The sequence below is a fragment of the Homo sapiens genome, chromosome 12, assembly GCF_000001405.40.
Source record: "Homo sapiens chromosome 12, GRCh38.p14 Primary Assembly".
NCBI classification, from domain to species: Eukaryota; Metazoa; Chordata; class Mammalia; order Primates; family Hominidae; genus Homo; species Homo sapiens.
The window spans coordinates 70,899,187-70,925,145 of record NC_000012.12 but is presented as its reverse complement, the minus strand read 5'-3'; the positions used below and the strand labels follow the sequence as shown (position 1 = coordinate 70,925,145).

General features: G+C 36.4%; 1 protein-coding gene across 3 annotated transcripts in view; it reads left to right on the top strand.

Moving 5' to 3' along the window:
* The first annotated feature begins 4,407 nt into the window (after positions 1-4,407).
* The window catches only part of PTPRR (protein tyrosine phosphatase receptor type R), a 282,666-nt gene continuing 261,114 nt past the window's right edge, over positions 4,408-25,959 (top strand). For 2 of the 3 annotated variants that reach the window (NM_002849.4, XM_047429233.1), the window contains exon 1: positions 4,408-4,813. In NM_002849.4, the coding sequence (NP_002840.2) occupies positions 4,756-4,813 (58 nt within the window). In that variant the 5' untranslated portion in view covers positions 4,408-4,755. Of the gene's footprint in view, positions 4,814-21,420; positions 21,483-25,959 lie in introns of those variants that run through there. The other variant, XM_011538615.3, reaches the window with a different exon arrangement.

The following is a 25,959-nucleotide window of genomic DNA, read 5'->3' as shown; positions in this document are numbered from 1 at the left end:
AAATTACTAGCTTCGCTGAGCTTCAGTTTTCTCCTCTACTACAAAAAAAAAAAAAAAATAATACTTCACACAGCTCTTGTGAGACTTCAATGTGATAATATATATTTTTAGAATTTTAGTGCTTTTCCTCCCCTATTCTTATTGCCCCTTGCAATTTCATTGTTCTCTTCACTGTATGCTTATGAGAAAGGGTAGATCATTCTTCTTGTTATGGTTGGGAAAATACTAAAAAATAATAATGGTGAATTTATATACCTGAACATGGTATTTTCATCTGTGAATTTTGAATTCATTCCTTTTCATCCTGAGCTATATTCCACTCTGAATATAGCTTAATTCACATCAATTATTTACTTTGTAAAAAGAAATTATTTTTCTTCTTTTCTCCTCTTATAAAAGATAGCTCTCAGACAAAAGGAAACAGACTTTGGGATTGATAAAGTGGCTGCATAAAGGATGGGAAAGGGCAAGCACAGAACAAATCTTAGTGAGGTGTTTATAACTGTTACCTATTGCTCCCTTACATGTTCAGAAGTTCCTTGAATCCATTTTGCTGCTTTATATCTCTGCCACTGGCTCACACAATTCCCTGGCCTTTCTCTTCATGTAGAGCAGTTAGAACCTACTTATCCAGCCAGACTCAGTTCGTTTCCTGTTGCCCACCAGTTTCTTGCCTGCTGCCCATCCCCTCCTCTGCTCCCACCCTCCATAGAAGAAATCATTTCCTCCATTCTTCTCCATTCTATCTTAAGCATCTTTCTAACACAGTTCCTCTAAGCATGATTTTACTTGCTGTCTTTGTTCACTAGATGCTAGGGCCCAGAGTCCACTGCCACAAGCAGTGTCTCTTGTTCTCCTGGAGACAGTCTTCTATGAGTGTTCCTCAACACAGAGCTTTACTGTGGGGCCAGGCATCTCATGCCCAGCCCTGATCTAATCATCTAATTCTAGTGAGCAACCTACAACTGAGTGTGTGTGTGTCTGTGTGTGTGTGTGTGTGTGTGTGTTATTAGAGGTAGTATAATATAGTGGTTTGGTATCAAATTATCAGATGTACATCTTAATTCTATCAATTTACTTTTTAACTGATTACTTACTACTTGATTTTGGGCAAGTTACTTCTCCATGCCTCAACTATATTATCTCTAAAATGAGATCATTATAGTATCCTTTTGTAGAAATATTATAATGTTTAAATAGGACATCCAAATGCTTAGAATAGAACCTGGCACACAGGAAGCACAGTCAATGTTAGCCATAATTATACTTAAATAATAGTAATCTAAATAACTTAAGTAGGAGATCCTTATAATCAATGGATCTGATTTCTCAATTTAAAGTGTCTTAAGGAAAGATGGCTGACATGAATAATTTTCATCCATTTATAGAGAAGTAAATATGGATGCTCATAATGATTAAATCTGTTTTGAAGGCAGGCTCTGAAAAGCTTCTTTCTTGCATAAATTTTCTCTAAGACTCACCTCATAAGAAAAAGAAATTATGCATCTTATGTGGAGGAAAATTCCATATGATATTTTTTATTTATCTTGTAAAATGTAAATGATTCTTTTATGACATAGCTCTGTAGGCCACTACTAATTTGTATAGTTCTCTCATAGTAATTTCCATGCTTCTTTGAATTACAGCTAACTTTTTAAAACCCTGATGCAGTGTTTTAACCAAGCTTTTTTTCCAAAACACCAAGTCACCTTCACTAGCATTAGATCACAGTTAAGGAAAAACAGCACCTATCGACTCAGAATATTTCTGTATGAGTTAAGTGGTTGACTTTTTCACTAATTGGCTAATTCATTCATTGCTGTTTGACTTCACGAACAGCAATGAGTGAATTAGCCAATTAGTGAAAAAGTGAATTGAAGCCGTTACAAGTATGATATTAGATTGACTCACATAGGAATATGACCTTTTTCGTTACTTTATCATTTCTAAGTAAATTAATAATGAATGTCTAGTCACCAAAATTACAGCCCACTCAGGGTTATTTTTACCATGCTGAACTAACTATTCTAATGATATATCCAGCCAAATTGGAAATTGGAAATTTTTGCTGCTAACGGAATTTTCATGCATAGTTTAACAATTCAGCTACCTGCAGCCCTGAACAAAATACATTGCCAGCAGGATGCTTTTTGGCAAAGTCATAGTCAATTATAATAATGGGAATTTTAAATGCCCCACCAATAAATGTTGGAATTATCTGTGGAAAAGGAAGGGGTTCAGAACATTACTGCAGCATTGTTTCATTACCATAAGTAAGTATATTTTATTCTTGGAGATCTATGTAAGTTTGATAATTAGTTATTTTAGGAAACAAGAAAATAAGAAAAATAGACCTATTGTAAGTGGGATACAATTATTTTTCCCTAACCTCCAGCCCTGCAGCATTTCTAGTAACAGATGTTAGATGAGAAGAGTTATTCTTCTAAGCTTTACAGAATGCTAAATAAATTATCTCAAAGGTTGACTCAGTAAGAATTTCAAAGAGTTAATTGTCAGTATTGAACTTTGTCAACTATCATTTTCATTTATTCATTTTTGAGTATCTATTTTGCATGAGGCATTGCTCTAGGGAGTTGGGACATATCAATAAAGTCATCAAAGTTCTTCAACATTGGAGCTCAAATTCTGTTTTGCGGGGGGGAGTAGGGAAATAGATACTAAACAATAGATTTTATAAGTAATTATTTTGGTTTGTTAGAAAGTGATACGGGAAAAGCAAACTGGAGGACAGTGAATCAGGAATAGGAGAAGAGGTTGCAGCTTAGAGTGGTTTGGGATGAAATGATAGTGCCACAGAAATGGAGTGTGCCACACGCATGGGGGAGTAGGGGGTGGAGCACGTTGCTAGAGAGGGGCTAGACATGGAGATATGTCTCTATTTTCAGCAGAGAAGGCCTGTCAAGATATTAAAAGTACATCTCATTGTCCCCTTCTCCCACTTGTTGGAGTGCTTCCTGGCCTTGTCTCTCAGAGCTGAAGATGACATAAATCATAAAAGAAATAAATGGTACCGCCTGGGCTCTCTGATCTTATAAGGTCCCACCTAATTTAAGCTCTGGTGGATAGCCTATTTCCCATTAGTTGTCTCAATTCACAGAGGATGGAGAAAGAAAGCACTGAATGAGATGTGCAGCTCAACTCAATGGGCACTTGTTAGCCCCAATTATTTGGCTAGGACAACTTTATTCAAGTTAATGGAATACAAAACTCAGCAGTTCTTATGGAGACTTCAATGTGCTGTAGAACAAACCACAGATAAATGAACTGTCTGAAAGAATAATATGAGGCACGGCTAAACAAGTGTTGTGGAAGAGAAAGATCACTGTAATCTAGAGTTAGTTAGAGTTAGGGCTTTCTGGAAAAGTGAGACCAACATTACACCTTCGAAAACTAGTGTGGTGGTGGTGCAAGTGGAGGAAAATGGGAAAGAGGCAACAGTGTCCATAAAGACACAGAGGCAGAAAGGGCAGAGGCCCTGGGATAGTTAAAAGAGAAGTCTAGCTGAGGGACTTCTTGACTTGACTAGCAGCAATTAGCCATGACTAATAAGGCTTTCCACACTCCAAAGACTTAGATGGAGGGATAAAAAACCATCTAATGGCAGACTGTGGTAGCCTCCCTAGAGACACAGAGCTGGGCCGGATGAGTCCAGGCACTGACGTGATCCATTATCTTTCACCTTAAAGAGTAAAAGGGAAACTAAAGTTAATTACCTCCACGAAACAAAAAGGTGCCTTCTTGTGCTTCAATTACATGGATATATTCTACTAGTCTAAAAGTATCTTCTCACTTCTTTCTGTCACTGTGAGGACTTGAGTCAGAAGAAAGTTTAAATACAGTCATTGAGCTGGAAAGAGTGGAAAGAGAAGCAAAGAGGGGGAAGCTGTAGGAAGGACGAAGTCACCCCCAAGATACATGGTTACTGCTTACACCAAGCAAGCTGCCTTGGGAACGCTTCCCCCGAGCAGCCAGAATGCTCAGCAGTGGAAGACACCTCTATTCCTGTAGGCGAGTCCTGGGAAGCTGGTCAATCTGCAAATGCCAATTCCCAGCAGTGAGCTCGGTCCACGTGTAAATCAAGATTTGGGGAAAGAGTAGGGTGGGTGGCATGGTTGACAATGTCATCAGCTCCCTCCTCTGACTCCTGTGGTCGTGCCCCCATCTACTCTCACTCAGCTACACCCCACCTTCGGATTTGTGATGGACGCTGGGTCCCTAGTAACCACAGCAAGTGTCTCCCCCGCACTTCCCCCTTCCCCACCCCCACCCCCACCCCCAACCACCACCCCAGCGATGGAGCCTACTCTGCTCCAAGCCGCCGCTAAGACCCGGAGAAGCGGAATTTCACTTTGAAATTCCCTTGCCTCGTGAGGGCCGGCGCTGGGCATGCTCAGTAGCCGCGGCGCTGCTGCTGGGCTGCTGGGCTGGCGCGGAGTCCACCCTGCCGTCTCCGCCTTGGCTTCTGGGCGTCCAGAAGGCCAGGCATTTGCCGCCTCTGAGCGCTTCTGTTCCCCTTACCCGCAACCTCCTACTGCTCTTCCTCTCTCCCTCTCTTAGGGAGGTTGAAGCTGGTGCTGGTTTCTGTCGGCGCCACAGACTGACTGCTCTGCAAACCCCAGCCGAGGACCTGAATCCCGGAGACTAGAAGACCCTTGGCGGTGGCTCTTTCTAATAGCACTTTACCTGAAGTGGGGTCGTGGTGGAGTTTCTCCTCCACCTCTCAATGCAAACACTATGCGGAGAGCAGTCTGCTTCCCTGCGCTGTGCCTGCTCCTTAATCTTCACGCTGCAGGTAAGGGGTTGCCAGGCTTAGAGCCGGAGCTGTGCATGAGATGGGAAACTGCACATGCTTAAGGACTCTAGGAAAAGCTTGCCTTGCGAAGAAAGCCTTTCTAAAAAGGTAAAACAGGACAGTACCTGACAGGGAAGGGGTGAGGGAGTCGTGCACCTGTTGGAAAACTGAGGCCGAAAACTTAACCTAAAATTAGCTCTTGATTTTTCTTTACTTTATACGAAAATAGTGAACATTTTCAATATGAATACAGGTTTGCTCCCCCCTTCGCCTCCCCTCCGTCTAGATTCCCTGCTCTTGTTTCTAGGCTATGCACTTAACTGTCAATTTTTCAGGAGAGGGATAAGACATCCTGCTAGATGTAACCTTTTCTACTGCAGCGGCTACTACATTCATAAGGTCTCTTGGTCTAGCGAGCGCTCATAGGAAGGCATTGGCTGTAACCTGATGGACCACATCTCCGCCCAAAAGATCGAAATACATGGTTCACATTAGTGATGCTGCACCAGGCTCCTTTGGCCCCTGCTCTTGTCACTCGAATTTTCTAAGCCAATAAGAGGAAGAAAAGGTTTCAAATAGAATCCTCTTGTCTCTTTCAGCACCGTGGCTAGCGTCCGCTGGCATATTAAAAAAAAAAAAAAAAAAAAAAAAAAAAAAAACAATTACAGTTCCAAAGCTGACAACCCTGGGTTAGGCACTGTCCCTCGGACAGATTTGATAAGGTGTAACCAAGAGTAACAGTGAGACTGCTCCCAAATATAAATAGATTTGAGGCACCAGAATCAATATCAAGTCTCGTGAGGAAGCAAACCTTGGGAAGTACCTGAGAGATATTATATGTGGTGTCCCTGCTTTTTGCATACATAGCACCTCTATTTAATGCAGACAGACTTGCTAGGCTGAATTCCTTATCATTGTCACACACACATGAACCAAAATAAAATATGGCAGGGAGATTTTAGAAACCCTACTGTGACAGCAGTTGTCCATGCAGTAGTCCTGTAACAACCAGAGACGAGGCATTTTCCCTGAGTGTGCTTCTCATCCAATCACACATATCCATTCATTCCTTCAAGCAACATTTGCTGAGTGTATACTATGTTCTAGGGGTAATGAGTAAAAATAATTGTTCTGAAATTACAATCCTTGCAGTATCTTTTTTAAAAGAGTGGGTGAATTTTATTCTCTGTGTACAATAGTAGGAGTGAAATATGGTACTTTCTTATTCCAGCTAACGCTATTATTTAAATGTATCATGAATCTTTTGAGCAAATAATGCATAGGATTATTAAAGCTATTATTAAATACACATGTTAATTGTTATAATTATGATGTTATATTGTGGAGTTTTCAATAGTTCTTTGGCACATTTTGAGAAGTAGAAAATAGCTATGACTTGATTATTAAATTATTTGCAAACAGCTGTAGTGAATTATTTCGTTACCACATACAATTCTTCAATGCTGAAATGTGGGATGAAAACATACACATTGGGTTGAGTTTTATTTATAGTATTGCTTAATAATAGACTGACACAAACATTCATTACAGAAAAATCTCAATTCTTACTAAGGTAGCAATGATTTAGCTGGTCTGCCAACAATATCAGTGTAGTCATTTTTTCAAAACTAACATATAAAAAAGTTTAAAGATCACATTTGATACATCTTGAGTAATTATATCTTAAAAGTTATAAATAAACTGAAGCATGTGAAAAACATGTCTTGATTTACTGTAGATGAATATTCGGGATGAGAAAAATGAGGACTTTTGCTCATCAGATGAGAAACCTAGAAGCCTGTAGCCCTAGATTTTACCTGGAGTTCTGCCAAAGGGTATATTACCAAAGCCAATCCAATCCATCTCTACTTCAACTTTTTAATTTGCAAAACAAAGATAAAAAGTAAGATTAATCAACCAATTTTAATTTAATAAGAAAATGCATTTAAGGACATTTTTATATTTCAATTGCAAGATACTATTCATTGTATTCATATTTAATATAGTAAAATACATTGGTGTTTTATCACAGCAGATTGTAAGTTTAATATTATAGTTCTCTTGCCAATTTCATTTTAAATGCATTTTAATTTTAAACAGCAATTTGTGGGTCACAAGCTGTCATCAGATTAAAATTTATCACAGTTATCTAATAACATTGTTAGGGCTTTTCATCAGAACTAAAACAAACACAGCTCCTTGGTCTAAGCTTCTATACATTTGGAGATTAAGAAAATAAGTGGATGGGATGACAAAGATCAAGAAATCAAGATATTAATCTCTACTTGTTGAAGGTGTGAGTTTGTTACTTTTATGGAAGACTTTTCTCTCAGAACAGAGGCTGACTTCATAAAGAAGGGAAATGAATTCTATACATTCAGGCCTCTTTAACTGTAAAGCTAATTGATCCATTTTGGTTACGCCCAGGGTATCAGCAACTGCTTTATGCTGGTGGAACTGATGACACCTTATAATGCTTTAGAGATGGGAGGAATGTGCTAACGGGATGTAAGTGTTCTTTTTAGCTATATTAGGAACTGTTGCCTTCAATATAACCATGCCTGTAATGATAAGTAGCAAACTGCTTGCAACTTGAGTGCCATCTCCCATTATTTTGCTTATGGTTGCCTAAGACACCATCGGGGGGAAAAAGAAGATTATGACTCGCATTCTGGCTAGGGAGAAGTACTGTGGTCTATAATAGCTGTGGGAGAAAAATGAGGAGTGGGTACCATGCTGTGTAAGTGGCATCTCTGGGTAAATTAACACTAAAGGATTACTAAGCATGGTTCTTGTTAGAGAAGCTGGACACTACTCTACCCATGGCAGCCGATTTTTATAGATCACCTAACAAGGAAGTTGTGGTTATTGTCCATCCAACTGCTTATTTTACAGGTGAGAAAATGAAGATCTAGAGTATTAAAGTGGTAGTTAATAGCATAGTCGGGATAAAAGCCCAGGTTTCCAGACCCGTGGTTGCATACTATATAAAATTATACACTGGTTCTACAATAGGTGAGGCCACCATTGATTAAGTTAGTGGTGCAAAATACTTTTTACCTAACTGTCCTTATTCTTTACTCTTTCGTGAACCAGTTTAATATATAAACTCCAGTTGAAAATACCACTTCAGGAATATTCAAGGAGGCAATTAAAAGCCACCACAATAATACGAATGGTAAAAAAATATTATGTGGAAGATCCACAGAGCTTATTTTCTTCAGCATTTCTCCTCTTCCTTTGTCCAAAGAAGCATATTCCATTTGAGGAGATATTATTTATAGTGTTGTATTTTAGTTGCAAAAGAGTACATTTTTGAGATATATTAAAAATTCTCATGTGAAAGCTTTCTTTTTCCTAGGGAATGTTTTGCTAACAAAATACAGAAACTGATTTCAATCCATTGCTTTCTCTTTGAGTTCTGGAAAAGGTTCTTTCAAATTTCTGTGTTGTTCTTGCTATCAGCCTTTTTGAATGGCACAAAGACTGCCTTCAATGTATCTCCTGAAACTATCTCTTCACTCTCAGAGAAGTGCATAGTCAATTTCCTTAGACTCTAAGAAGAAAGGTATTCTATGATAGTACCAAGAAGATCTGGGAGGTGATTTGCAGAAGTACCACCCTCAAAAGAAAGGATAGACTAACAGGTAAATGATATATTTTAAGATTTTAAGATGTTCCTTAGAACTCCAGAATTTGTTTTTCCTATTGAAAATCTCTCAGAGAAGTGCATAGTCAATTTCTCTAGTCTCTGAGAAGAAAGGTATTCTATGATGGTGCCAAGAAGATCTGGGAGATGATTTGCAGAAGTACCACCCTCAAAAGAAACGATAGACTAACAGGTAAATGATATATTTTAAGATTTTAAGATGTTCCTTAGAACTCCAGAATTTGTTTTTCCTATTGAAAATCACTCAATATAGACCTTACAATGGTCTAGAGTCTCTCTCCACATTATTTCTATGATATTATCTCTCACTACTTTCTTCTTTTTTTACCTCTCTCCAGCCATATTTATCCTTCTGTTTCTAGAAGATGCCAGGCACTCACCCTTTCATACTGTTTTGCTTTTTTCTTTCTCCAGGTGTCTCCACAGCTTAATCCCACAATAATTTTAGAACTTTAATTAAATATTACCTTGTTAATGAGGTTATTCTATTTCATATTTCATTTTCCCTTCCCCCCATCACCCAGATAAAAATTCTAGCACCCTTTCCCTGCCTAACTTTTCTTTCCCCAGAGGTCTTCACCACCCAACATACAATATATTTTACTTTTTTTATTGTAGTTTCCCCTCTCTGTATTAAAATGTAAGCCCATTTAGGGCACATATTTTTGCCTGTTTTGTTTATTATTGCATGTATTAGAGGTCTTGGGCTACCTAGTACCTGGGGGCAGTTCCTGACATAAAATCTTTCTAAAGATTAAATAAATAAGTTAAATAAATAATGTAATACAGTGATATTTCTGGTCTCTTCTTTTTGCATTTAATATCTTCTTAACACCCACAAAAAACACACATAGTCCACTTAGCCACTTCTGGAATGGACTTAAACAGCTCATTTGTCCAAAACTCATGTTGCCTCACATGCCCCCAAAACACACTATCTCTAACAGATTTTGCTGTCATTGTGAACTGAAGGGCAATAAAGGATGGGTTTGTGTTAGACCAGAACTACTAATCAACTCAGTGAAAAAAGTCTTTCAAACTGATTGCCAGATATTGTGCAGCCCAAATTCTTTGCTGATTGGCTACATTTTCACTTCTCAGTGAAATGCCTTGTACATGTAGGAATGGCTACAGGGATCAGCTGATTTACAAACAGAGAGTCTAATACACTAGAAAAAACTGATTTGCTTCTTTGGTACTTAAGAGACACAGGAATATGTATATTGGAGATGACATATTTCTAGCACCTCCAATAGAATAGCACCTCACATATTCCATTGAAAATCACATCCTACCTAACACCTTGTAAAAATTCTGGGATGCATTATGCACATTCAGCCTTTTCTTCTTTATTTCTCACCTACTTCTCTATCAGCTTCCGTCCTCATCCTATCATCCTATGGTTGAACATAATTAAAGAGGTTATTGTAATGTATGTTCTTGTTATCAATGCATTTCTATAGTACTTATATATTTTGACCCCTTTCTGAATTTTAAAATTTTTCCTCACTTGACTTCCACAGACAGTCATTACTTCCTAGCTTCCCTCTTATTTCTCCAGCCATTTCTCAATTTGTACTTTTAGGTCTTCTGCTGTGTATTATTTAATGGTTAGTGCTCTCTACAGCTTGTCATTGATTTTTTGTTATTTTTCTCTGTATACAATCTCCCTGGATAATTATACTCAGACTTGCACGTCAAAGATTCCAAAATCCACATTTCCATCTCAGTTATCTCCCCTGAACTCTGGTTCTATATTTAAAATTACCTAGAAGTCATTGTATATTCCATAGTAATCTTTTTGTTTTTGTTGTTGTTGTTGTTGCTGTTGTTGTTGTTAGAGACAGGGCCTCACTCTGTTGCCCAAGCTTGAGTGCAGTGGTGCAATCATGGCTCCCTGCAGCCTCGACCTCCTGGGCTCAAGCAGTCCTCCTGCCTCAACCTCAGAGAGTGCTGGGATTACAGGTGTGAGCCACAGTACCTGGCCCCACAATAATCTTATATACAACTATTTTTACTCAACACTTCTCAACACAATTACTCTGATAAATATTCCCTAACATTGTGAATAACACCAGGATTCTTCACAATGACCCAGGTCTGAAACAAATAATTGATCCTAGATCATCCCTTTGCTACTTTCATCTTAAAGGTTTCAAACTCTTCTCATAAGATGTTCTCCACTCTCCATGATCATGTCACTGCCTTGAGACAGATCCTTATTTCTCACATAATATCTTGTGATGACCTCCTATCAAATTTATTCTTTATAATAATGTCGGAGGTGAAACTCTTAAAAGCATACCTGATCATATTCTTTCTCCAAAAAATTCTTTAATACAGCTATCTCCTTTTCTTTTAGAATAAACTCCAAACTCATTAGGAAGGCAGTCTTTTGCGATGAGGTCTTCTCATCTTGCCCTCCTTTGCACACTAATATCACACTAAGACAAAATTTCCTTTGGTTTGCCATGTCTTGAATCATTTCACATACTGTTCTATTTCTCTTAAATACCAATACTCTGCTCCTTTTTTTAGATGACTCTTTCTCCAACTTCAAATGTTGATCAGGCATAGCCCACTTTGAGAATCTTCTTTTTTTTGGATGACTCACCTCATTCAAGTAGCTCTCCTACATTTCCCTTTTCAATCCTGTATATTCCCCTGTCAATGTACTTAACCTGTATACTGAAGTTTTTTGAGAACAATAACACAATTGCAGCTTTATTTCTATATACTTATTCCCTAGAACTATGCTTGTTACCTAATATGGCATCAGTAAGTGTTCAATGAATGAATACATATATTAAATATATTTGTTAAAATGAATTGTGATAAATTAATTTACATTGACCAAGAGATTATATCTCATCTTCATGACCATAAAGAAGGTAATTGACTTTACTACTGCCACCTTAGTGCAATTTACACTTATTGACAACAAGGAAATGGAGATGGGACAGAAAATTTTCTATGTAAATACACTCCATAAGATAAGTTTGTGTCCCATGGGCATGATGCTATTTGTAGTGTACTTGTGTGCTGAACTCTTTCTAGATGGATAGACATTCTTGCATGATTTTCCAGTACTACTTAAGAATAGAATGAGATTTTTTTTTTACTTTAAAGAGCTCAAAGAGTTAGATAAACAACATAGCATGATAGTTGTCCACTACAGAATGGACCCGGAACTCCTAACCCTGATTACTGATTGGTTATTATCTACCTATAGCAAATACAAGACATTTACACATTCAAAATCAGGTGGGAGTGTGAGACAGTGGCTTCAATAAATCAAGACCAAAAATTATTCAACCCTCCTTTTCTCTCTGAATTAAAAACCAAATCATCACACAAAATGTCTGAATATTTGAGTGGTTGTATACATTTTTTCTCTCATTTTGTGTGTATACAGTCTTTATAGAACCATAAAGTTTTTGGATCCCACATATTTTTTCTCATAGAAGACATTCTTACACCTGAAGAATGGAGACTATTTTGTGAATTATTTAAAAATCGCTTTATGTGAGATGATCAGATCACAAATCAAAAGCCCATTCATTGCCATTAGTATTAGAGATAACACGGATGTTATATTTTATGGCAAGTTTATTGTTAAATCTTAAAAGTTGTTCTGTGAGTCAAATTCAAAAGCTAGTGAAAGCCATTTTTTCCTTTAAAAGGGGATTTGAAAGATTCTACTTGGCCCATGAGTGCATTTTTCATCTTCAAGGCATTTACAAATGCTGACACACTTAGAGTAGCATTGATGTTTCCCAACATAAAGGATGTTAGTAGTTTCGAAAAATAAAGATGTAATGCTAAAATATTATTTTAAGATCAAATTTCCTAATGCTTATGTACCATATAATGTAACTATAAGTGCCTACTATAGTAATGATATTTGCCACAAAAGGACAATTAGCAAATTTATATTATAAACATTAGCACTTTCCACTTAAATCATTTTTATTCATAATGACTGCATAAACTTTCCTCATAATCAAATCTCATTTGATTTTAATATATTAAGATGTTGATGTCCATTAAAATTGCAGCCACATGGACCAACAACAAAGCAAAACTATTATTTATATTATGCAGCAGTCTAGAACTTAGCAAATGCCAAGTTCATTGGGGACATGAATTATTTTTTCCTATTTCTATTTTATTTTTTATTTCCTTTTTTTCAGATCTAAAGCAATGTCCATTTTCTGACTTAAATGAGAAGACTGGCCTCAGGCAGTCCTAAACTACTGATTCTTTGGAAAGGAGCATTTAATGAGCACAGAGTAAAAGCATCTCACAGTGATTCACTGGACTGTACAGCAATATGTACAGAGCAAGACTCTACAGCTATTTCACTGTACTAATGATCCAATTCCTGAGGCATACTGGAGAGAAAAGGAAGCAATAAATGCACAGAATCAGTTCACCACTGGGTGACTTTCACTTATCTGGGAAAAATGATCAAACATAATATCATAGTGAGTTAGTTAGGTTGAAAGACCATCAATCCATTAATGTAAATGTATGGCTTTCAATCATAAGCAATTTAGTTTCTTTGTCTTCTTGATTCAAGGTGGTATTTTTAAAATTCTCCCTGAAGAAAATAAAGTAGCTTAAACAGAAGAAAGGAGAAAATTTAAACAAGGGGAAATGTCATGTTTCTAGATAACTTTTTAGCAGAATTCCATAGTAGTTGAGAGTTAAGTGGGATAATATATCCAAACTTGCAGTCTTAGAGAGTGTCATAGAAGTGTTAGGCATTACGTGATTAGACTAAGGAGATGATAAATGGTTAATTGTACCTTGGAGGAATTTCTTATTCTTTTTATGTTTATGCCAATACTGGGTAAGCATACACACCTAGATACATTCTGGATTCTGAGTGGTTTTTTTTTTTTTTTTTCAGTTGAGCCTTTTCTTGATAGTTTTCATCTGTATGCTATAGGCAGGAGCCTGACCATATGTGCAGGTTTGTAGTGGACTATGAAGCTCGAAAATATCTACCTCCCTGCAGATATCTCTCCCAATGCCTTTTCTAAAAGTTTCATCTAAACATGAATTCTAGCATCATGTCTTCAGCAAGTTCTACTTAAATGAATGTGAAATAAAAATTTCTCTTGGATATGCCTGATTGTGACTGAAAATGTGTAACATTTACATAAACATCATAAATCTGAAGTGCCTAGTTCCTACTGCACTGCCTTGCTTAGCAGGCAGTCTAGACTTGTCCTAGGATACATCTTCCTAATTAATCCCTCTAGGGACCCACAAAGGGTGAAAAGCTCAAGCATGGACGAGGGATGCTGCTCATAGGTCTATAGGCTTCCCATCTGTTGTCTACTCCTCTGGCCATCCTTCTTCTCTACTGACCAACTGATACTATCCTATTTACCATTTGTAGCCCATGGAATTTCTAGACCATTGGGCTGTAGGTCCATGTGGAAGGCTGCCTGTGGTTCTGCAGACACCAGCCAAGACAGGGGTGTTTGAATGTAAAGGGATAGAAGGAGGGGCATGGGTATGGGAAGAACATAATGGAAAAGGTCACATGCAGCCACAACCTATTCATTGAACTACTCACCACTCCCCTAAAACCCAGGCTACTCAGCTGACCCTGCTTTTCCAGGACTCTTCTCGCTGCTGATTTTACCTCAGGTGACCTATTATTTATAGCTTCAGTTTGACTCCCTTGGAGACCCATAGTTCACAAGAAAACTCAGAATTCAGTTATAGAAACTTTTTCATGATGCTTCACTTCTCTATGCAAATCCAGAGACACATCTGGCAGCTCTTTCAGTGCCTCTGAAAATTTCATGACATTTAAGAAGCTCACTAGGGCAATTCACATGAGTCCTCACAAGCCTGGTCCCCTTGGGCATTTGGGCATGTCTCTTGGCATTGCTGGGAACCTCTGTACCTCTAGAGCATCAGGATTTCCCATCAGGCATTCATTGGTTACTTTTGATTGTTTTATTTCCTCAAACTGGGAATGCCTGATATTTAGAGGGCTTAAATTATAAATTTTATCATGTTATTTGTAACTCCTAAATCTGAGCATTAACTGAAGCTACAGAAACATAATAAAAAGTCTTCCTCTCAAGACAAGCATTGAATTTCATATGGAAAAGACAAATAGATTTCCTTTTAAGACAGGAAGGAGATAACAAATGAGTATTTCCTAAATCCCTTTGATGTGCTAAACTCTACCCAAGGTGCTTTTGTAAGATAATTGCCTTACCTTTTAGGATTGAAAAATGTTTTGAAATGGCATGCTTATACTTCAGAAACAACAAAAATATGCCTTAACTCATGTAGTACAATAAAAACAAACAAACAAAAAAACATTTGGGCTCTAGGATTTGACTACCTGAGTTCGAATCCCATCTTCTCCCATTTAAAAAGCTAATGTATAAGACCCTGCAGCATGGAACCTGGAACACTGAATATATTCTATATTCAATACTAGTAGTTGTAGGAGTTGTATTAACATGTGAAAACTTTCATTGGTCCTGTATTTCCTATAGCTGCAATATAAGACCAATGAAAAGAAAATATAAAAAGAAAAATGGTGCACATTGACTATTGACCTATTAAAAAAAATCACTCTAAAACCTTCATTTGTGAAGAGTACATGCTATGAAGATCAAATAAGCATGTCCCAATTTTTAAAATACTAGTAAAACCTTCGTCTTATAAATTTTTAAATGCTCATAATTAGCAAGTTCATGTTGAAGAAACTAAATCCTGCTTTCAAAACAAGTATATAAGAGAAAAAAAACCTCTAACCACCAGAGGCACTGCCACCACGGGCAACCTTTCTTCTGACAAAGTATCTGTCAGTCTCAGGGATTGGGTAGGACATGCGGTATCATCACTTCTGCTACCCTACTCTACAGACTATATGAATCCACAACATCCAACAAAGGCCAAAACATTCCACTTCTAATGCTGACTTTCAGTCTTAGAGAAATATGTACTAGACAGGGAAAGTTTGATATCCTACAATGAGTTTATGTGAAGGGGGCCCTGATTAACAGAGGCTTTGCTTATACTAATGTTTTGTTTTGTTCCTTTGAGTGGAGACTCAAAGAAGTTTTTCTACCCTGATGGAGAAATTCAGTTCAGATTAAGTTACAGGTGTACCTTTTTTTTGTAAAGTTTGATGAAATGCTTTGTTCCGGAAAGGAGTGCCAGCATGAAATGTGTCCCTGACTATAGGTACATTCTGAAGCAGATAAATTTTAGAAAAAAGCTGAGGATCTGGACAGTGATTCTTCATGCCTGTGCACAATTTGCATACTCCAATTTGAAAATCCTGTCCACATATCTTTGATGTGTGTGTGGTGGGGGAGGGTATGCACTTTATGAAATCAAAGAGAGTTCTCACACATACAATTAGGGAATCAGGTGTCCTGTCTCCCCTTGGGTTAAGTTTTGCTGAGTCTGCAGCAAATTCCCAGTGGGTGCAGGATCAATTCCTGCCAGTCCAGGCCTGTCTTGTGCCTCTGGTACCCAATACCTCACCCTGCAGCATCAGCTGTCACTGCTGGCAGCGCCCCTCAGGTCCTCCCTCCACCAGCCCTTCATGTCTTGAAGTTTACACTTGGGAACTATGTTTCTAATCTGAGCTTCAATCTCCAATTTTCTCTTTCTTCTCCACCCTCAGCTAAACTGGGTAGTTGCTGCTTCCTATTCCAGGAGAGATCTCTTCTCAGAAAGGATGTGCCACACTGATCTACTTCAGATAAGAATAGCTGTTAATTATATGGCCCTTCCTTAATTTTGATTTTTCAAAGAATCATTAGAAAGCAGAGCCTTAGCCCAGTGCCATTAATTTCAAATGGTGGATGAAAGAGCAAGAACGAGATGGAATAGCAGTGTTGAAAGGGTCTACCAAGTGCCCCTCAAATCCCAAAACACAGGCAAGGGAGACCAGGACAGGGATCTCTTCAAGTGGCCAGCTACAGACCTCTTTCCCCATTGATACGGTTTGGCTGTGTCCTCACCCAAGTCTCATCTTGAATTGTAGTTCTCATAATCCCCACCTGTTGTGGGAGGGACCAGGTGGAGATAATTGAATCATGGGGCGGCTTCCTCTATCCTGTTCTTGTGGTAGTAAGTTAGTTCTCACGAGATCTGATGGTTTTATAAGGGACTTCCCCCCTTCTCTGGGCACTCATTCTCTCACCTGCTGCCATGTGAAGAGGGATGTGTTTGCTTCCCCTTCTGCCGATTGTAAGTTTTCTGAGGCCTTCCCAGCCACGCGGAACTGTGAGTCAATTACACCTCTTTTTCTTTATAAGTTACCCAGTCTCTGGTATGTCTTTATTAACAGCGTGAGAATGGACTAATACACCCACTTTCCTCTTCCCCTAATATATAAGCATTAATGTCTCTGTAGTATCATTACTATGGTGAGATTTTAATATTTATGTGTTCTAATGTTCGTTTTGCTATGTTTTAATATAATTCCTAATCTGCTATGAGAATTATTCTTAAAACAGACACTTTTTTTTCCTTTGTCTTAAAATTGGAGCCCAGTTTTTAAGTTGTCTGGAGAACTCTGCTATGAAAACAATGGAGATAGTTTCTAATCTTTATTTGAAAACAATTATATTTTAGCTGTTTGTATAACAATGAACGATGTATAGAATTAGTTTCTAAATGTACTACTTCATTATTCAGTGAGTGCAAACAGAACTGAACTCCTGTGATTTCTGCAGTCTTAGCTTTCTAGCCATATGAGCATTTTTCTGCCTTTTCCCAGAGGGTGTAGTTTGATAGTCCTCTCTTAATGGCTGTATAACATTTAACATATAGTAGCATTCACTCCTGTCAACCTCTCCTCCCAGTATCCTTTGACTCAATACTTCAGAAACTGGGGGACATCTGATTGCTATACCTCAGCTGGCACACATTTCACTTTTTCCAGCAGAGTCTGAGGCCCAAGGTCTTAATGCTCATTCTTTCTTCATGACTTATGTCTAGTCACATTGTCCCAAGGTACCGTTTTAATTGTATTATGTTCCACTCTGTAATAGATATTTATCAAATGAAAAATAACTCTATTAAAGCTGGGCAAAAATCAGGAAACATGAACCCCTTTCATTGCAATTTTACCACCAGCAAATAGCAGACAATGGATTTTTCCTGAAACGGTTGTCAATTCTGTAACTCCCAAATAGAGGTTTACACTGTTCAGCTCAACTTTCAATGGATAAACAGGGAGAAGTAAGGGATATCCAGAGTATTTATGCTGGGCTGACAGTGGAAGGAGGAGCCACTTTTCCTAATAGAATATTTTGGGAAATGTGAAAAAACATGTGAGGAAACTTTACAAGGTGATTAAAATCATCCCTTACTCTAATGGGATTCAGGTTCTTCTCTTAAATAGCAGTGATCAGAGCTAGCACTATAAAAACAGAACAATTACTTTGCTATTGGTTTCTTTATTTTTATTATAGATGTATTGGACACATCACTGTTCAAATATGTGGAGAGTTTAAATAATATTAAAGAATGTCACAACACTTCCTGGTAGAATTATATTTTCACATCTTAGTAGCCAGTGTGTAGACTGGATCTTAGAAAAACCAGTCCTGGAAGGACGTGTTAAAATTTTATTTTAGTTTTCTTTAAGGCTAGTCAATTGAAGGAGTAGGAGTGGAGAAGGAACAAAGAAATCCGCAACTGGTTGTGATCAATTAGTTGTAAACACCACTGCACTGGGACCAGCCTTGGAAGTGTTCTTTTAATAAGTTTATCCACGTGTTTTTTGGGTCCATGTTTATAATTTTGGCAAATTTAATTATTGTCATCTCGTAGAAACTGATTTTTTTTTAAAAAAACTTTTTGTAACAAAATGGCTAGTTTAAGGATAAATATTTTTGTCAAATTGGTTATTTGGTGTCAGGATACAAAACAAAACAATGTGTGTACATACAAATATATACATACATATGCATATATTGTTGGAACATAACTAAGGCACAGAAACTGAATTCTGTAAAACTGGCTTTGTATATAGCATATGTTGTATTTTGGGAGGTTATCCTAACTAACATTGGTTGTCATATTTTGGGAAGGCTGTAATGTTTATCAGTGGGGTTTAGTGTTATTACTGTTGACACTTTTAACTGGAGATTAGTATTCTGGTTATCTCTTGTTACTATTACCAATAGAATGATAGAACAACTAAATAATAGATTTAATATTAGCCTCCTTACATCCCAGAGTAGAATTTCTGGAAATCCCTGCTTCTGTAAGTTCCCAAAGTGTCTTTTATACTATTTATGGAAAAACTTATTTCTTTAGAAAAAAAATCAGGACCATGCAAAATCTGTCTAACTGAATTGTGGCTTCTTTTTTACTGAAATATATTTCTAATCTAGTTGTAGATATGCAAAAACCACCTACATTTTCTGATGAGAAGACTGAGGCTCATTGGGGTGAGCTAACACAGACGAGAAGAGAGAAGTTGGGAGGTCATTTAAATTAGAATCTAGGTCCTTCCTTTATTTCTTAATTCTTTCCTCTTAATAAAAAGCATGTTTCTTTCCTTTCTCAATACTAAATAGGCACCTTTCCCAAAAGAACTTTTATTGCTACAATTATGTATTTTTAATTTTCCTGAGAGGCATTAACAAATCAAATAAATGGGAGCCTAATCATTTCTCATGCATAAATTCTCAAGGGAAGCCCTTGATGCTATCCATTTATCTCTCCTTTCTAGAGAAGAAGGTGTTAACATTCCTAACAAAACAATGATTGTCTTTTCAAAAAATGATTACACAGTAAAAGCCTTTTTTTGATTGTTCACTTTTTCAAGTCTCTTTGGAGACCACTGTTTTATTCTTTCTTTCACAAGTTATTGACATTGACTTAAGTACTTGCAATGCGAGGATTTATTCTGAGAGAGTGTATACAAGGCCATTCTACCTTATGCATTCAGGAATAACCAACACTGAATTTGAAATAATGAATCATAATGTACTCTAACTAAACATTGTAATTTCATTCATTTCTCTTTCCTTTGTTAAAGATCTCTTCAGAGGCTACCAAGGTCATACCCAGAATGAAATTTCAATTTCAACTGTGCAATTTTATGACCATCAAATCTCACTGGTTATTTTCATGTAAATGTTGTTTTTATGATAAAAGTTCTTTTATTTTAAATGTAGATTAGTATCTTTGGCAAGCTACTTACTAAACATTCTGTAAGAGACACTCTATCCCTCACAGGTAGGGAAAACTGTCACTGAACTCTCAATGAAGACAAGAAATCCTACCATGTATTTCATATCAACTTTCTTTACAATAACTCTTTCAATTCCTCTCCATTCTCCTGAAACCTTTCATCTTTCCTCCCTAGTCCTCACTCTCTTATGAGATGACTTCATCTCCTTCTACACAGAAAATATAGACACCATCAAAAGATAATTTTCTCAACTTCCAACACCAAACCCATTAACATCCCTAATCTCCCTCCCCTCTACCTATAATGAAATAAATACCTTCCTCAAATCCAAGGCTCATTCCTCTGCCTGTACTCTGGGTCCTCTCTCCTCCTATCTTCTGGGGGAGTTCAGTCTACTAATTATTCCAGCTGCATTCTCTTATGTCTGATCACTCCTTTTAGCTGGCTCCTTCTCCTTGAGGATTAAATGTGCCAAAATCTCTACTTTCTTAAAAAGAAACCAAAAACACATCCCTCAACCCTATCTTTCCTTCCTGGTAACACATAGTCACTCTCTTATTATACCCAAACTTGATTTTTCCACTTATTTTGTTTCTACTTTATCTCCTACTCAGTCCTCATTTCAATTAAATTTAGCTTTCTGTCCCTTCCCAACACACTGAAACTACTTTTTATAAATTCATCAATGATATTTCTTATGAAAAAGACTTAAATTTAGTTATGAGAAAAGATGTTTGATATAGTTACGCTTGAAAAAAGTAGCTTACAAAACATAGTATAACCTATTGACTTTTTTGGTGTATAGTTCTATGAATTTTCACACATGTATAGATTCATGTCATCACAACCACAATCTGGATACAGAATAGTTCGCTCACCACAAAAAAACTTCCTACTATCTTTTTGTCTCCAACTCCTACACCCAAATAACCACTGATCTGTATTTCATAACTATATTTTTTTGTCTTTTGAGAATGTCATGTAATGGAAAAATACAGTGACTTTTTGAGACTGGCTTCTTTCGCTCAACTTAATGCCTTTTATATTCAAGTTGTGTGGATCAATAGCTCACTTTTTTTTACTGATGAGTGGTATTACATTGTTTAGATGTATCATAGTTTATCTATCCACCCATTGAAGGACATTTGAGTTGTTTCCATTTGGGGGCAATTATGAATAGACTTGCTAATAAAATTTGTTTACAGACATTTGTGGGAATATACATTTTTATTTCTCTGGGGTAAGAATGTAGAAGTGAAATTGCTATATCATATGCTAAGTATGTGTTTAACTTTACAAGAAACTGTCAAACCATTTTCCAGAGTGCCTTTGCCATTTTGCATTCTCACCTGCAAGGTCTGAGACTTCCAGTTGCTCCAGATCCTCTCCAGTATTATTAGTACATTTCATTTTAGCAATTCTAATATCATATCACAATTTTTAATATGCATTTTCCTATTGGCTAATAGAAATGGACATACTTTCATTTGCTAATTTGCCATTCATGTATCCTCTTTAATAAAGTGTTTGTTCAAGTCTTTAGCCCATTTTTAAACTGGTTTGTTTTCTAATTGTTGAGTTTTGAGAGTTCTTTATACATTCCAGTTACAAACCTTTTGTTGGATATGTGACTTGTAATTATTTTTCTCCCACTCTCTAGCTAGCTTTCTCCCTTTCTTAACAGTATCTTTCACAGAGCAAATTTCTTTTTATTCTGATTCCATCCAGATTATCTTTTTCTCTGTGGATTGTGATTTTGATGTCATGTCCAAGGAACCTTTGCCTAACCTTAGGTAATAAAGATTTTATTCTATGTTTTCTTCTAAAAGTTCTATAGTTTGTACATTACACATTTAGATCTGTGAAACTTTTTAGTTAATTTTGTATAAAGTGTGAAGTTTAGGTAAATGTTCATTTTGTTACATATGGATGTCTAATACTTTAAATGTAATTTTGAAAAGGCTGTCCTTTATTGTTCACCTTTATCAAAAATCAAATGGTAATACTTTCTCTGAATTCATTTTTTAAATTTTATTTAGCAGTTATTTTATTTTTGATTTACATTATTTTTAATTGACAGATCATAATTTTATGTATGGGGTAAAATGTGATGTTTTTATATAGATATACAGGGTAAAATGATTAAATTAAGACAATTAACATATTTATCACCTCACTTGTTTAGCATTTTTGTGGTGAGACATTTCAAATTTATGCTCTTAGATATTTTGAAATACACAATAAATTATTGACTATAGTCACCCTGCTGTGCAATAGATCTCAAAATTTGTTTTTCCTGCCTATCTTAAACTTTATATCCTTTAACCAACAACTCCTCATTCCTTCCCCATTCCCTGTCCCAGCCTTTGATAACCATCTTTCTACTCTCTACTTTTCTAGATTTCACATATAAGTGAGATCATATGATATTTGTCTTTCTGTGCCCACCTTATTTCACTCAGCATAATGTCCTCTAGGTTTATCCATGTTGCCACAAAGGTTAGGATTTCCTTCCTTTTATAAGACTGAATAGTATTACATTATATGTACATGCTACCTTTTCTCTTTTTCCCATAAGTTATTGGGGGTACAGGGGGTGTTTTGTTACATGGGTAAGTTCTTTAGTGCTGATTTGTGAGATTTTTGGTGCACCCATCACCCAACCAGTATGTACTGCACCCTATTTGTTAGACTTTTATCCCTTGCCCCCCTCCCACTCTTCTCCCTGGTCCCCAAAGTCCATTGTATCATTCTTATGGCTTTGCATCCTCATAGCTTAGCTCCCACATATCAGTGAGAACATACGATGTTTGGTTTTCCATTCCTGAAGTTACTTCACTTAGAATAACCGTCTCCAATACCATCCAGGTTGCTGCGAATGCCATTAATTCATTCCTTCTTATGGCTGAGTAGTATTCCATTGTGTGTATATATAGATATAGCTATACATATATAGAGACATATATATAGATTATATATCTCAGTATCTCATATAGACATAGATCTCAGTCTCTTTACCCACTCGTTGATTGACGGGCATTTGGGTTGGTTCCACGATTTTGCAATTGCGAATTGTGCTGCTATAAACGTGTGTTTGCAAGTATCTTTTTCATATAACGACTTCTTTTCCTCTGAGTGGATACCCAGTAGTGGGATTGCTGAATCAAACAGTAGTTCTACTTTTAGTTCTTTAAGGATCTCCACACTGTTTTCCATAGTGGCTGTACTAGTTTACATTCCCACCAGCAGTGTTAAAGTGTTCCCTGATCACTGCATCCATGCCAACATCTACTGTTTTCTGATTTTTTGATTATGGCCATTCTTGCACGAGTAAGGTGGTATTGCATTGTGGTTTTGATTTACATTTCCCTGATCATTAGTGATGTCGAGCATTTTTTCATATGTTGGTTGGCCATTTGTATACCTTCTTTTGAGAATTGTCTATTCATGTCTTTAGCCCACTTTTTTTATGGGATTGTTTGTTTTGTTCTTGCTGATTTGTTTGAGTTTGTATAGATTCTGAATATTAGTCCTTTGTCAGATGTGTTATGGGAAATGGTATAGAGGTTCCTTTAAAAACTAAAAATAGAATAGATTGTGAAGATTTTCTCCCACTCTGTGGGTTATCTGTTTACTCTGCTATTCTTTTGCCATGCAAAAGCTTAATTAAATTAATTAATAATTAAATTAATGATTAAGTCCCAACTATTTATCTTTCTTTTTATTGCATTTGCTTTTGGGTTATTGGCCATGAAATCCTCGCCTAAGACAATATCTAGAAGGGTTTTTCCAATATTCTAGGATTTTTAGAGTTTTAGGTCTCAGATCTAAGTCCTTAATCCATCTTGAGTTGATTTTTGTATAAAGTGAGAGATGAGGATCCAGTTTCATTCTTCTACATGTGGCTAGCCAATGATCCCAGCACCACTTTTTGCAAAGGATATCCTTTCCCCACTTTATATTTTTGTTTGCTTTATCGAAGATCATTTGGCTGTAAGTAGTTGGGTTTATTTCCAGGTTCTGTATTCTGTTCCATTGGTCTATGTGCCTATTTTTATAGCAGTACCATGCTCTTTTACCCATTCGTCTATTGATGGACACTTAGGTTATTTTCGTATCTTGGCTATTGTGAATAACGCTTCAGTGAACGTAGGAGTGCAGGCATCTCTTTGACAATTCATTTTAATCTAGGGGAGATAGACACCCAGAATTGGGATTGCTGGAACATATGGTAGTTCTATTTTTAGTTTTTTGAGGAACTGCCATACCATTTCCCATAATGACTGTACAGGTTGAGGATCCCTAATTCAAAAATTCAAAACCCTAAATTCTCCAAAATAGAAAACTTTTTGCATACCAACATGATGCTCAAAGGAAATGCTTGTTGGAGTATTTTGAATTTTGGGCCTTTTAATCAGGGATGCTCAATTAGTATATATTCTGCAAATATTCTGAAATCCAAAAAAATCCAAAATTCAAAACATATCTGGTCCCAAGCATTTTGGAAAAGAAACCACCTGTACTCATTTACATTCCCACAACAATGTGCAAGAGTTCCCCTTTCTTCCCATCCTGGCCAACACTTAACTTTCATCTTTTTTGATAAACCCATTCTAACAGGTATGTGGTGTTACTTCATTGTGGCTTTAATTTGCATTTTCCTAATGGTTAGTGATGCTGAGCATATTTTCATTTACCTATTGGAAATTTGTAAGTCGTCTTTTCAGAAATATCTGTTCAAATCTTTTGCCCATCTTTTCACTGGGTTAATTTTTTTGGTATTACATTGTTTGAGTTCCTTATGTATTTTTGATATTAACTCCTTATCAGATGTGTGGTTTGCAAATATTTTCTCCCATTCTGTGGGTTATCACTTGACTTTGTTAATTGTTTCCTTTGCTGTGCAGAAGCTTTTTAGTTTGATGCAATCCCATTTGTCTATTTTTGCTTCAGTTGCCTGTGCTTTTGGGGTCATATTTAAAAAAAATCATTGCCCAGACTAATGTTGTGGAGATTTTTGCCTATCTTTTCTTCTAGTAGTTTTATTGTTTTGGATTTTATATGGAAATCTTTAATTCATTTTTGTATATGGTGTGATGTATGAATCCAATTTCATGCTTCTGCATGAAATCTCTATTTTGCACCATTGATCTGTTTGTCTATTTCTTTGCCAACACTACACTACCTCAATAACTATAGCTTTATAGTAAGTTTTAGAATTGAGCAGTATTTTTTAACTTTATTATTTTTTCAAAATTGTTTTAGCTTTCTATTTATTTTGCCTTTCTATGTAAATTTTAGAATCAGCATATCTACATCTACAAAAAATTCTAATGATATTTTATTGTAATTGGAGATGATTGACATCTTCATTATGTAGAGTCTTCTAATTCATGAACATAGTATATTTGTTGTTTATTTAGGTCGTCTCTGATTTCTTTGTTCAACATTTTATAGTTTTCAGTATATATATGTATCTTGCACATGTTCTGTTAGATTTATACCTAAGTATTTTATTTTTGGGTCAGTTTGTTTTTTTTACTTCTAGTTTTCAATTATACATTGCTAACTTATACAAATGCCATTTAGTTTTGTAGGTTGCCTTTATATATTGTGACCTTGCTAAACTGACCTGTCAGTTCTAGGAAGATTTTGGTAAATTCCTTGGGATTTTTTATATAGACAATCATGTCATCTGCAAATAGAACAGTTTTATGTCTTTTGCTCCTTTTCTTTGTCTCATTGCACTGACTAGGACTCTTAATACAGTGTTATATAGGAATGGTATGGGTGCCTTGTCCTTGTCTTAGAAGGGGAAGATTCAGTTTTTCACTATTAAGCATAATGTGTACTGTGGGGTTTGGTGTAGGTACCTTTTATCAGGTTGAGAACATTCTCTTCTATTTCTAGGTTACTTAATTTTTTCTTACTATGAATAGACATGAATTTTGTCAAATAGTTTTTTCCACCAATTAGTATGACTATTATTTTTCCTCTTTAGACTCTCAGTAGAGTGGGTTATGTAGATTGTTTTTCAAATATTGAAGCAGCCCTACATTCCCAGGAAAATCAGCCCCATTTGGTAGTGGCATATGTCTTTTTCTGTATTTCTGCATTCAATTTGCTAATATTTTGTTGAGGACTTTTACATTTGTGTTCATGAGCAATATTGGTCTATAGTGTTTTTTTTTAGGATTGTCTCTATCTGCTTTTGTTATCAGGGTAATTTTGGCTTCATCAGATGATTTCGGTGAATGTTCCCCCTTCTAT